At 40.0% G+C, this 14396-nt stretch overlaps 3 annotated features.

Annotated features, from left to right (window-relative positions):
* Positions 3588-4163: an enhancer, noted in NCBI's record as "OCT4-NANOG-H3K27ac hESC enhancer chr4:69137738-69138313 (GRCh37/hg19 assembly coordinates)". NCBI's record gives its function as "activates a minimal SCP1, AML or CMV promoter by ChIP-STARR-seq in primed H9 embryonic stem cells {active_cell/tissue: H9 hESC(primed)}" and the evidence as "EXISTENCE:reporter gene assay evidence [ECO:0000049][PMID:30033119]".
* Positions 4164-4738: an enhancer, noted in NCBI's record as "OCT4-NANOG-H3K27ac hESC enhancer chr4:69138314-69138888 (GRCh37/hg19 assembly coordinates)". NCBI's record gives its function as "activates a minimal SCP1, AML or CMV promoter by ChIP-STARR-seq in primed H9 embryonic stem cells {active_cell/tissue: H9 hESC(primed)}" and the evidence as "EXISTENCE:reporter gene assay evidence [ECO:0000049][PMID:30033119]".
* Positions 8900-9442: an enhancer, noted in NCBI's record as "H3K4me1 hESC enhancer chr4:69143050-69143592 (GRCh37/hg19 assembly coordinates)". NCBI's record gives its function as "activates a minimal SCP1, AML or CMV promoter by ChIP-STARR-seq in primed H9 embryonic stem cells {active_cell/tissue: H9 hESC(primed)}" and the evidence as "EXISTENCE:reporter gene assay evidence [ECO:0000049][PMID:30033119]".

Consider the following 14396-nt stretch of genomic DNA (forward strand, 5'->3'; position numbering starts at 1 on the left):
GTCGACTCCAAGAGCAGATTTATCTATTTATATTACATATTCATGACTGCAAATCAGTACTTACATTAATAATGCAAAGTACTCTGATTAACGTTTATATTAACCATAACTACTTGTGAGGTTTCTTCTGGGTTGGGAGAGTTTTGTTGTTAGATTTCTTCAGCAGGTGCTATGTTTGCAATACGCTGAGTTGTTAACGACTAATTATTTTATCTTTCCTGATCGATAAATAATATATTTAAGATATATTTATGCTTTCTGCTTTGCTTTATGCTATTCTGCTCTGTATTCCTATTTAGTGTACCACTAAACATAGTACATATAGTACACATAGTACATATAGTGTACACATAGTACATATAGTGTATTACACATAGTACATGTAGTGTATTACACATAGTACATATAGTGTATTACACATAGTACATATAGTGTATTACACATAGTACATATAGTACATATAGTGTATTACACATAGTACAAATTGAGATGAATATATAGCATGAACAACATATTATATAGGTAATTCATTATAAAATTACTAGGTTAATTTATTCTTTCTATAAAAAATATAGATTAGTTTTTATTTTCTTTGACTTCTCAATTCTTCTTTTGTTTCCTTATTTTATTTTACTCAGATGTGATATCTCTCACTTCTACTTCTCTTAACCATTGCTTTGTTTCTGTGTTATATGGAAGAGTAATTGACTAAAGGATTCCAGAAAGGTCTGTTGCACTATTTTAAAAGATAAATGTATGTATTAGTCCATTTCACACTACTATAAAGAACTATGCAAGACTGAGTAATTTATAAAGAAAAGGGGCTTAATTAACTCATAGTTCCACATGACTGGGGAGGCCTCAGGAAATATACAATCTTGGTGGAAGGAGAAGGGGAAGCAAGGCACGTCTTACATGGTGTCACGAGAGAGAGAGCACGCAGGGGAAACTGCCACTTTTAAACCATCAGATCTCATGAAAACTCCATCACTATCACAAGAACAGCATGGGGAAACTGCCCCCATTATCCAATCACCTCCCACCAGGTTCCTCCCTCGACATGTGGGGATTACAAGTTAAGATGAGATTTGGATGGGGACACAGAGCCAAACCATATCATTCTGCCCCTGTTCCCCTGACCAAATCTCATGTCCTCACATTTCAAAACCAATCATGCCTTCCCAAAAGTCTCCCATGTCTTAGTTCATTCTAGCATTAACTCGAAAGTCCAAGTCCAAAGTCTCATCTGAGACAAGGCAAGCCCCTTTCACCTATAATCCTATAAAATCAAAAGCAAGTTAGTTACTTGTAAGACACAATGGGGATACAGGCATTGGGTAAATGTTCCCATTCCAAATGGGATAAATTGGTCAAAACAAAGAGGCCACAGGCCCCACGCTAGTCTGAAACCCAACTCTGCACTAATTAAATCTTAAAGCTCCAAAATCTCCTTTGACTCCATATTTCATATTCAGGGCACACTGGTGCAAGGGGTGAGCTCCCATGGCCTTGAGTGGCTCTGCAGGGTACAGCTCCTGTGCCTGCTTTCACAGGCTGGTGTTGAGTGCCTGTGGTTTTTCCAGATGCACAATGCAAGCTGTCAGTGGATCTACCATTCTGGGGTCTAGAGGACAGTGGCCTTCTTCTCACACCTCCACTAGACAGTGCCCCAGTGGGGACCCTGTGTGAGGGTTCCAATCCCATGTTTCCCCTCTGCATTGTATTAGTAGAGGTTCTCTATGAGGCCTCCACCACTGCAACGGACTTATGCATGGACATCCAGGTGTTTTCATGCATCTTCTGAAATCTAGGTGGAGGTTCCCAAACCTCAACTCTTGTCTTCTGTGCACTCAAAGGCCCAACATCACATGGAAGCCACCAAGGCTTGGGACCTGCACACTCTGAAGCAATGGCCCAAGCTGTACATGGCTGGAGCAGCTGACATGCAGGGTGCCATGTCCCAAGGCTGCACAGAGCAGGGGGACCCTGAGCCCAGTTCACATGAAACCATTTTTCCTTCCTAGGCCTCCAGGCCTATGATGGAAGGGGCTGCTGTGAAGATCTTTCACATGCCCTGGAGATATTTTCCTCATTGTCTTGGCTCTTAACATTCAACTCCTTGTTACTTATGCAAATGTCTTCAGCCAGCTTGAATTCCTTCCCAGAAAATGGGTTTTTCTTAGCTGCCTCTTGGTCAGGCTGCAAATTTTTCAAACCTTTATGCTCTGCTTCCCTTTTAAACATAAGAAGTTCCAATTTCAAACCATCTCTTTGTGAACTCGCATGACTGAACACTTTCAGAATCAACCAGGCCACATCTTGAATGCTTTGCTGTTTGGAAGTTTCTTCTGCCAGATACCCTAAATCATCTCTCTCAAGTTCAAAGTTCCACAGATCTCCAGGGCAGGGGCAAAATGCCACCTGTCTCTTTGCTAAAAAAAAAGCATGTGTGACCTGTGCTCCAGTTCCCAATAAGTTTGCCATCTCCATCTGAGACCACCTCAGCCTTGGCTTTATTATCCATATCACTATCAACATTTTGGTTAAAACCATTCAACAAGTCTCAAGGAAGTTCCAGACTTTCTCACATCTTCCTGTCTTCTTCTGGCCCCTCCAAACTGTTCCAATCTCTCCCCATTACCCAGTTCCAAAGTTGCTTCCACATTTTCAAATATCTTTATAGCATTACCCCACTCTTGGTACCAATTCTCTGTATTCATCCATTTTCACACTGATATAAAGAACTACCCAAGATAAAGAAAAGAGGTTTAATTGACTCACAGTTCTTTCTGGCTGGTGTGGCCTGAGGAAACTACAATCCTGGTGGAAGGGAAGCAAAACATGTCTTACATGGTGTCAGGAGAGACAGAGCACGCAGGGGAAACCCACTTTTAAACCATGAGATCTTGTGAGAACGCTCTCACAATCATGAGAACAGCATAGGGGAAACTGCCCCCATGATCCAATCACCTCCCACCAGATCTTCCCACATCATGGGATTACAATTAGAGACGAGATTTGGGTAGGGACACAGAGCCTAACTATATCATTCTGCCCCCGTGCCCTCCCAAATCTCATGTCCTTTTCACATTTCAAAACCAATCATGCCTTCCCAGCAGTCCCCCCAATGTCTTAACATATTCCATCATTAACTGAAAAGTCCAAATCCATAAGTAAAGTCATGTGAACTAAAAGTCTACAGTTTTTATTTTTCTGATAAAATATTTTATTTAAACTCATTATTTTTAAACCAATTAATCAATATACTATCATCTTTAGTAAAGGATGCACCTTGAGAAAATATTAGAGGATGTGTTACATTCGTTACAAATTTCTCATTGTTGATTAAAATGTCAGCATTGCTCTCATTATGAAATTTGGGAAAGAAAGGGAACATTTTTTAACCCAAACTAAGTAACTAATAGTCAGTTTTAAAAGCTTAGTTATTTGGATTATTTCATTACTCAAAAACTGGCTCACTGACGATTCAGGACTTTTTGCTCTTACCACTTACATTTTAGTCATTACCCCACATGTCCACTAGATGGTGTGTAAGGACAGAAAAAAATAAATTAAAAAATCAAAGAACTTAGAGGGAGATGACCACAGTGTTTAAGTGAAGAGCTGAGAATTTTCTTTGGATTTTATCCCTAGTAATTCCAGTTACTCTAAAACAAGTGAGAAAGATCCATACTAAAGAAAACCTTTTTAATGTCATCCTGGCCAACATGGTGAAACCCCGTCTCTGCTAAAAACACACAAATTAGCTGTAGTCCTAGCTACTAAGGATGAGGCGGTAGAATCTGAACCCGGGAGGCGGAGGTTTCAGTGAGCCGAGATCGCGACACTGCACTCCAGCCTGGCGACAGAGCGAGACTCCGTCTCAAAAAAAAAAAGAAGAAAGAAAAAAAATTTATTTATGGCATTTGCCTACCAAAATTACTTTTTGAAAAGGTTTTCAAGTCATTGAACATAAATGTCTTTTCGGTCAGAGGCGTGCATAGAAATAGAGATGGGAAGGCAAAAGGAAGCAATACTAGCAACCACTGAAAAAACTCTTGTGGGCAGACAGGGAAGAAAATGTGGGCTGCTGTTTTGACTAGCAGCCATCTACAGAGGAATGTTACTGCTCTTTGAGAAATAGTCCCTCCTAGGTCATGGCTCATTGATGGCTGTGTCTGCCTAAAATGACAGAACTGTAAGGAACAGCTAGCTGTCAGTCATTCTACTCTTTGGAACTACCAGGATTCAGCTTCCACAAAATAGAGGTAGAAACAATGTAGGTGGTATTTGCTTGATATATTTATGCTGCTATGCTTTTGGATCCACATGTCACCTAACAAGAATTTTACTGACCTAATTGAGTTGACTCTGTAATTGATTTTTGCAAAACTCCCCCAAAAAGTAAAACAAACAAACCAAAATGTAGTATTTTATTTTCTTAGTTCTCCTGGGAATTCTAGAAACTTGTTTTTGCAGGAGTGGCATCTCCATATGCCCATACGGAATTTGTTCACCAAAGAAAGTTAAGGTTGACTATTGATATGTATTTGCATAGTACTTTACAAATGAGTGGAGGCGAAAAGGGAAGATACAAACACTTTGGTGCTGTACTAACTGGGTACTAAGGTCACTGAAATTACTCAGCCTCAGGAATCTAAGGAGCTCATTATGAATAACAAAAGAAACTTCTATCACTCAGAAAATTCCAAGGGTTTTAGGAGTTTTGTGCCTGGAACCAGATTGCCAAACATATTTCTTATTCTAACACAGCCATATTAAACTAGAATTTTTCAGTGTATCAGAGATTTATCAACAGAGAACAAAACTGAGCTTACATTGTCAGCCGTGGTGGTAATCTCATTTCAAAGCTATGTATACTTTTGAATGATATAGATATGAATATAGCAAAATTCTGATTTACAAGAATCTCAATACATTTGCTCAGAGCTGTGCTAGGCTGTAATAGTTCTTTTTCACAACTACCATTGTAGGTGAATGCCAGATATATGACAGTCACCTTCATACTAGTAAGTTTTCTCTATGAAAAAATTTCAAAGAATTTTGTGTCAGTAAAGGGTTGTGACTTGAGAAATAAAAATAAAATTCTAAGCCCCCACAACTGACTGAATGGATTTCCTCTTGACAAAGGGAACCACAGAGAAAACCTGCATTCACAACCATAATGGGACGGGAGATCAGTCATGCCTCATCATAACCCTTCCCTTGCTAACTGTCATTAGGTTTTCTTCCCTAAGTAGTCCCAATAAACTTGGTAGTCCCAAAAGTGGGATCTTTCCTTGTTTGGTATTGCAGAGCCAATACACAAAACCAAACATGAGCATCGAGTGGAGCAAAGAAAGGAGAAACAGGAACATGGCTCACAGATCAACTTCTCACCTAGTGAGAGGTGAGGAGTTAAAATGTAGAGTCTCTTTAAGGAAAGGCTTGGACATTAAAAGGGAGGGGAGGAATATTCATATCCTTTCTGGAAATGGGCAGTGATATCAGAACCAGAGTCCAACCTTGTTCTTGTTCTTTTATGGTTTCTTCTGGTCATTGTCATGGCGACTGTTAACTATCATGACCCGGCTGGAAGTGTCACTTAGCATGAAAATTGGATTATAATGAAGTCTGAGATATATTTACGGCCACTCAGTCAGCCATCTTGATTCTAACTGGTTTTTGACCAATTCTCCTGAGGAGGAACTTCTGTCTGCATGCCTTCCTGTTTCTAAAAATAAGGAAAGTTACAGTGAGGTAGAAGTTCAGCTATGTCACACAGGCATTATACTAGGTAATAAATTAACTAAACAGAAATCAGCCTCTTCAAAAGACTGCTAAATTGTCTTCCATGTATAGAACAAAGGTAAGATGAGATTAATAATTCCTTCACCTTCCCCTGAGACATCTGCTCCCTCTATTCTCTTTTTTCCTCAAATGTTCACCTATCTTATGTAAACTGTTCATTTACTGGGCACTAAATAATGTCTCACAAGTATGTAATCATTTGTCTCACTGCCACTGTCACGCGCATCCGTGTGAAGACACCACTAAACAGGCTTTGTGCGAGCAACAAGGCTGTTTATTTCACCTGGGTGCAGGTGGGCTGAGTCCGAAAAAGGAGTCAGTGAAGGGAGATAGGGCTGGGGCCGTTTTACAGGATTTGGGTAGGTAGTGGAAAATTACAGTCAAAGGGGGTTGTTCTCTGGTGGGCAGAGGCGGGGGTCACAAGGTGCTCAGTGGGGGAGCTTCTGAGCCAGGAGAAGGAATTTCACAAGGTAATGTCATCAGCTAAGGCAGGAACCGGCCATTTTCACTACTTTTGTGATTCTTCAGTTACTTCAGGCCATCTGGATGTATACGTGCGGGCTTGGGCTCAGAGGCCTGACAGCCACCACCCCTCCTTTTTTGAAGGAAAATTCATAAATACTAAACCTCCCAAGAACTTCTTTGGAAACAATTGATTTCTGTCAAATGTACTTTTCAGGTCATGTTTAACAGAGTAATCCACCAGCAAATGATTATTTAAAAAGCAGAATCCAATTCCTGCCCCCCAGACCAATGTATTTGAGTCTGGGAATGGTGCTCAAGACATTGTATTTTTGACAGAATTATCAAATTCTGATAAATTTTACAAATATCACAGTTTGGAAACAATTTCTCTCTTTTCTTTCTCTCTCTCTTTTTTTTTTTTTTTTTTGAGACAGGGTCTTGTTTTGTTGCCCAGGATGATGTGTAGTGGCATAATCATTGCATAGCTTACTGCAGCCTCCACCTTCTGGACTCAAGCAATTCTTCTGTCTCAGCCTCCTGAGTAGCTGGGACTGCAGGCGTGTGCTACCATGCCCACCAATTTTTTTTTTTTTGAGATGGAGTCTCACTTTGTTGCCCAGGCTGGAGTGCAGTGGCGCGATCTCGGCTCACTGCAACCTCCACCTCCTGGGTTCAAGCGATTCTCCTGCCTCAGCCACCCGAGTAGCTGGGACTACATGCGCCCGCCACCACGCCCGGCTAAATTTTTTTGTATTTTTAGTAGAGACAGGGTTTCACTGTGTTAACCAGGATGGTCTCGATCTCCTGACCTCGTGATCCACCAGCCGCGGGCTCCCAAAGTGCTGGGATTACAGGCGTGAGCCACTGCGCTGGGCCGCCATACACTATTTCTCTAGTTTTGTTTTTTGTTTGTTTGGTTTTGCTTTGTATTGTTGTTGCTGTTGTTGTTGTTTGAGACAGAGTGTCTCTATGTCGCCCAGGCTGGAGTGCAGGGGCATGATCTTGGCTCACTGCAACCTCCACCTCCCGGGTTCCAGTGATTCTTCTGCCTCAGCCTCCCAAGTAGCTGGACTACAGGCACACCCCACCACATCTGGCTAATTTTTGTATTTTTAGTGGAGATGGAGCTTCACCATGTTGGTCAGGCTGGTCTTGAACTCCTGACCTCAAGTGATCCACCCACCTCGGCCTCCCAAAGTGCTGGGATTACAGGCATCAGGTTAGTTTTAGTAAAAGTAAACTCTAGGATGTAAAGAATAAGTGTCTTTCTTTTAAAACTTTAAAGAATTCTAATCCTCAAAGGATGAGATCAGTGGGTTTTGGCCTATGTTGAAAATAGTGAAAGAAATTATTAGTACACCCTTGCATATCCAAGTGTCAGATTTTTAATATTTCACATAAGTCCTATGTTTTAGTTACTAATATTCTACTAATGTTAATTTGCTGTTCCCAATAACTATTCTATGGTTATATGAAATGTTTGTGTTAGAAGAAGTGGGGTGAAAAATATAAGGAAACTCCTTTTTCTATTTTTGCAACTTTTTATAAGTCAGAAAATAGTTCAAAGTAAGTTTTTTTAAGCTACTTAAGTCTTTGAATAATCCTTATTAGACCTTGTTGCAAATATAATAAAATAGCCCGGTGTTTTGAACACTGTGGCTTATGTTCTATTTTCAGCTATATTATCCACCAGCATTTTTCCTTATGGCTCAAAAGATTGGGCTAAACCAGAGCTAGATTCACTATGACATTGCTTCTATCCTTAACATGGAATTCTATGATTCCAATTTATATATTCTGGATATGTTATCCTCATCCAGTGTATATATTGCAAATATATATTTCCAGACTGTGGCTTTCTTTTTCATTCTCTTAACAGTGTCATTTCATAAACAGAAGTTCTTAATTTTAATGAAGGCCAACTGTCACACTTTCCTTGATGGTGAGTGCTTTTTATGTCCTGTTTAAGAAATGTTCCCCTACTACAAGGCCATGAAGTTATTCTCCTACATTCTTATCCTCATGCTCATTGTTGATATGGTTTGGCTTTGTGTCCCCACCCAAATCTCATCTCAAATTGTAATCCCCAGGTGTTGAGGGAGGAACCTGGTGGCAGGTGATTGGATCATGGGGTTGGTGTTCTCCCCATGGTGTTTTCATGATAGTAAGTGAGTTCTCCTCATGAGATCTGATGGTTTTCTAAGTGTCAGTTTCCTCTACTCTCTCTTTTTCTGCCACTTTGTGAAGAAGGTACTTGTTTCTCCTTTGCCTTCCACCATGATTGTAAGTTTTCTGAGGTCTCCCCAGCCATGTGGAACTGTGAGTCAATTAAACCTCTTTCCTTTATAAATTATCCAATCGTGGGTATTTCTTTATAACATTGTGGAAATGAAATAATACAGAGAAGTGACACCAGGAGTGGGGCACTGCTGTAAAGATACTTAAATGTGGAAGCAACTTTGGAACTGGGTAATGGGCAGAGTTTGGAACAGTTTGGAGGGCTCAGAAGAAGACAGGAAGATATGAGTTTGGAACTTCCTAGAGACTTGTTGAGTGGTTTTCACCAAAATACTGATAGTGATATGAACAATGAAGTCCACACTGAGGTAGTCTCCGTTAAAGATGAGGAAACTATTGGGAACAGGAGTAAAGATCACACTCATGCTATGCTTTAACAAAGAGACAGGCAGCCTTTGCCCTAGAGATCTGTGGAACTTTGAACTTGAGAGAGATGATTTAGGGTATCTGGCCAAAGAAATTTCTAAGCAGCAGGCATTCAATAGGTGAACTGAATTTTCCTGAAAGTGTATAGTTGTATGCATTCGCAAAGAGATAATTTGAAATTGGAACTTATGTTTATTAATACAAGGGAAGTAGAGCATCAAAGTTTGGAAAATTTGGAGCTTTACACTGAGGTAGAAAAGAAAAATCCATTTTCTAGGGAGAAATTCAAGCTGGCCACAGAAATTTGCATAAGTAATGAGGAACAAAATGTTAATAGCCAAGACAATGGGGAAAATATACCCAGGGCATGTCAGAGATCTTCACAGCAGCCCCTCCCATCACAGGCCTGAGGCGTAGCAGGGCAAAAAACGTTTCTTGGGCCAGGCTCAGGGCCCTGCTGCTCTGTGCAGCCTCAGGACTTGGTGACCTGCATCCCAGCTGCACCAGCTCCAGCCATGTCTTAAAGGTGCCAAAATACAGCTTGGGCCATTGCTTCAGAGGGTTCAAGCCCCAAGCCTTGGCAGCTTCCATGTGGTGTTGGGCCTGTGGGTGCACAGAATATAAGGATTGAGGTTTGGGAACCTCTGCCTAGATTCCAGAGGACGTATGGAAATGCCTGGATGTCCACTGAGTCATGCAAAAATCACAAAAAGCAAAAAGACAAAAAAAAAAAACAAAACCCTACTTGCCTTTTGTTCCCAAACAGACAGCTGTAATTTCATATGCTTACTTTATCTCTTACATAAAATGTAGATTTACTGAGTACAAGTCAAATGCATAATTGACCTTTCCCCCACAGTCTTCCTTCCAAATGTAAAATGTATATTCACCGAGCATTAATCAGAGCTTCACAAGAATTGACTCATTGCCTACCCTACCTCCCTTTTTTTTCCTTCCCCTCCTGCTTGCTCTTTTCCCTTTAAATATTGAAGTTCCCAAAACCCTGTTTGAAAAAACTCAGGCCACAGATCCTACTGTAACTTGTATTTCTTTTTCCCAGGCATGTCCTCCACCTTGGTAAAATAGATCTCTGAATCCACTGAGATCTGCCTCAGTCACTTTTTGGATTACAGGTGTATTAGTCTGTTTTCACATTGCTATAAAGAACTGCTGGAGACTGGGTAACTTATAAACAAAAAAGGTTTAATTGACTCACAGTTACTCGTGGCTGAGGAAGCCTCAGGAAACTTACAATCCCGGTGGAAGGTGAAGAAGAAGCAAGCACCTTCTTCACAAGGCAGCAAGAGAGAGAAAAGGAGAGGGGGTGAACTGCCAAACACTTTAAAACCATCAGATCTTGTGAGAACTCACTGAGTATCATAAGAACAGCATGGAGAAACTGCCCCCATGATCCAATCACCTCCCACCAGATCCCTCTCTGGACATGCAGGAATTACAATTCAAGATGAGATTTGAGTGGGGACTCAGAGCCAAACCATATCAACAGTATATTCTATTAATTCAGAATCACTTGTTGAAAAGCAAAATTGTTTGCCCAGTAAATTGTAGTTGTGTAGTTGTCATAAAATTAGGTGACTAGATGTATGTGTCAGTTTCTGGTCTCCGACCTCTCTTCTATAGATATATCTGTCTATCCTCACAGTAATACCACTGTAGTCTAGATGTCTGGAAGTATAACTTCCAGGTTTGACTTTCTTCAAGGCTATACAAGGTTCAAAACAGTATCAAAATCCAGAGGTAGAAGGCAAGTTTGTGATGAGGTGCAGGGCCACATCCAGATAGGGCTAATCAGGAGTTAGTACTGACCAGGATTTGATGTTGACCTTATAACAGTGAATTAAGTTTTAAATATGAGAAGGTGGGTTGTCTTATCTGTTTTTATTACTCTCTCTGTTCCTCAGTTTTTTATTCAGTGTAACACATAGGAAAAGTATATTTCTTATTTGATTATTGTGAGCAATAATGTATTGATTCATAAAATACTTAAAATTATTCTTATTATGTAGTAGACTTCTATTATATAGTAGACTCTTACTTAATGTTTGGTATTGTAATTATTGTTTTTCTTGTTAGTATTCTTATTTTAGCATCTGGAAAGTGCTCAACATTTTACTTTGAGGCATTGCAGTTGCATCTCTTTCTACTATTGAAATGATTATGAGGCCGGGCGCGGTGGCTCACGCCTGCAATCCCAGCACTTTGGGAGGCTGAGGCGGGAAGATCACGAGGTCAGGAGATCGAGACCATCCTGGCTAACATGGTGAAACCCCATATCTACTAAAAATACAAAAAGAAATTAGTCGGGCATGCTGGCAGGCGCCTGTAGTCCCAGCTACTCAGGAGGCTGAGACAGGAGAATGGCGCGAACCCAGGAGGCAGAGGTTGCAGTGAGCCGAGATTGTGCCACTGCACTCCAGCCTGGGCGACAGAGCAAGACTCTGTCTCAAAAAAAAAAAAAATTGATTATAAACTGACAGATAATGAAAACAGGTGTAAATGGGGATATGGCTTGCAAACGTTGAACCACAAAATGCTATAGAATGGCACTACAGCAATATCAATGGAGATCATTTCCTCTTATTTGAAAAACAGAGTGGGAGAACTGGGTTTTTGAGAGTGGGTACTAATCCTGTTATATTTTTATAATTTAATGGGGAAATGAAGAAATTACTTAATACATTAAAAAACTAATACAATATCTTTCATATTATAAATATTCAATATGTATCAGCTAGTAGAGAAATTATCAGCTGGTCATGGTGGTTCAGGCCTGTAATCCCGGCATTTTGGAAGGCCAGAGTGGGTGGATTACTTGTGTTCAGTAGTTGGAGACCGGCCTGAGCAACATGGCAAAACCCTGTCTCTACAAAATTAAAAAATACTAAAACTTATTGTGGCATATGGCATGTGCCTGTAGTCTGAGCTACTCAGGAGGCCGAGGTGGGAAGATCACTTGAGCCTAGGAGGCAGAGGTTGCAGTGAGTGAGATTGCACCATTGCACTCCAGCCTGGGCAACAGAGAGAGACCTTGTCTCAAAAAAAAATTATTTTCATTTTTGTACACTAGCATTAGGTTTATTAAAAAGCAACAAGTGTAGAAAGACATCTATGCTAGAGAGATGTACTTTTACATTCAACCACTAAGTGAAAGATATATTTGTTTCTCAAAAACAAAAAGAAAACATGCTTCTCGTGGTACTCAGTAGGATGAACATCAGTTGTGCTAAAATTAAAGTAACATAGCTTTAAAAACATTTCATGTTCAGTGTATTATTATTGCCAATATACCCTCAAACAAAATGTTGTATTTTTATGTAGGTCATTATGAAACAGAAGGAAAATATATATATATATATAAAAAGATTAAAAATAATAATAGTAATATTATAACTGAAATTAATGTATATACTGAATAATTTGGAAACAAAATATTTTTGGTTTCAGAAATTTTGCCTTTTAACCAGGAAAATTCCAACTTATCTCTTCCAAGTAAAATACTTCGTGATTTTATAATTCTTCAGATATGACAAAAAACCACAACCAAAAGAGCTAAGAATATGCCTACATTTATACGCAGTATCCTCTTTTTTCAATAGTTTTAATTGGGTAAATTTGAAATCCCTGGTTGTTTATTATTTATCATTGAAGGGATCAAAATATTCACATAGGAAATTCAGGATGCATCAAATGTAATGGGAATTAGTGATTGATTATGTTGTGTTCCTTTACTGGAACCTAAAACACTTTAGAAGACTTTAAAACATTTGAAAAGTTTTCATGCTGAAAGAAAATGATAACTCTGCAGATTAGTAATTATAATATTCATGGTTCCCTACTTCAACTTTGTTCTCAACGCTTTCTGTAATCATTTAGTGACAAACTTCAGTAATTCCTTTCATTCTGCTTGAGGCTATTTCAAAATTTGTCCACTATCCTTAAACCTCCTACAAATTTTTTCACTAAAACCACTGGAAAAAAACTAACTGACAAAAATTAAGCAAATTTGTACTTACTACTGTATTCATTTTCAGCCATACTATTGCCACATTGGCCTTCCTGTAAAATATGTAAATTGAAGGGGGCCAGCTCCTCCACACCTGTGGGTGTTTCTGGTCAGGTGGGACAAGAGATTGAGAAAAGGAATAAGACACAGAGACAAAGTATAGAGAAAGAAAAGTGGGGCTAGGGGACCAGCGCTCAGCATACGGAGGACCCACGCCGGCACGGGTCTGCGTTCCCTGAGTATTTATTGATCACTCTACCATTTCGGAGAGGGGGATGTGGCAGGTCAATAGGGTAATAGTGGGGAGAGGGTCAGCAGGAAAACATGTGAGCAAAGATCTCTGTGTCATAAATAAGTTTAAGGAAAGGTGCTGTGCTTTGTTGTGCATGTACACAAACATCTTGGTGCATTAAAGAGCAGTATTGCCACTAGCATGTCTCACCTCCAGCCCTAAGGCTGTTTTCTCCTATCTCAGTAAATAGAACATACAATCAGGTTTTACACCGAGACATTCCATTCCCAGGGACAAGCAGGAGACAGATGCCTTCCTCTTATCTCAACTGCAAAGAGGCCTTCATATTTTACTAATCCTCCTCAGCACAGACCCTTTACGGGTGTTGGGCTGGGGGACGGTCAGGTCTTTCCCTTCCCACGAGGCCATATCTCAGGCTATCACATGGTGAGAAACCTTGGACAATACCTGGCTTTCCTAGGCAGAGGTCCCTGCGGCCTTCCACAGTGTATTGTGTCCCTGGGTACTTGAGATTAGAGAATGGCGATGACTTTTACCAAGCATACTGCCTTCAAGCACTTTTTTAACAAAGCACATTCTGCACAGCCCTAAATCCATTAAACCTTGGGTCAACACAGCACATATCTCTGCAAGCACAGGGTTGGGGCTAGGGTTACAGATTAACAACATCTCAAGGCAGAAGAATTTCTCTTAGTACAGAACAAAATGGAGTTTCTTATGTCTACTTCTTTCTACATAGACACATTAACAGTCTGATTTCTCTTTCTTTTCCCCACATAGAGTAAAAAAAAAATTATACTCATGAAGGGTTATATATGACTGTCTTCTATATATCGAGCAAATCTGTACTTGACTTTGTGCTCAAGTCCAATATAACAGCTGCTCCCTTGGCCTTCATGTGAGCAATGTTATCATGTTGGTCCGCAAACAAAGGAATGCCCATGGAGGGACTCCACGGTAGATCATCTCATAGATGCTATTGTTCCACCATAAGTTATAAAGGCTTTGGTTTGGGGATGATCTAGGATTGTGTGATTTTTAGCAAGATTACTAATTGTACATCTGAGAAATAAGATGAGAAACGCACAATATAAGGCAATGAAAGATAAAGTGTTTTCTATGAACAAGTTATTGCATGCATGAAACTGCACTGATATTGCTTTCAGATCTCAGAGGAAG

The sequence above is a fragment of the Homo sapiens genome, chromosome 4 (assembly GCF_000001405.40).
Source record: "Homo sapiens chromosome 4, GRCh38.p14 Primary Assembly".
NCBI classification, from domain to species: Eukaryota; Metazoa; Chordata; class Mammalia; order Primates; family Hominidae; genus Homo; species Homo sapiens.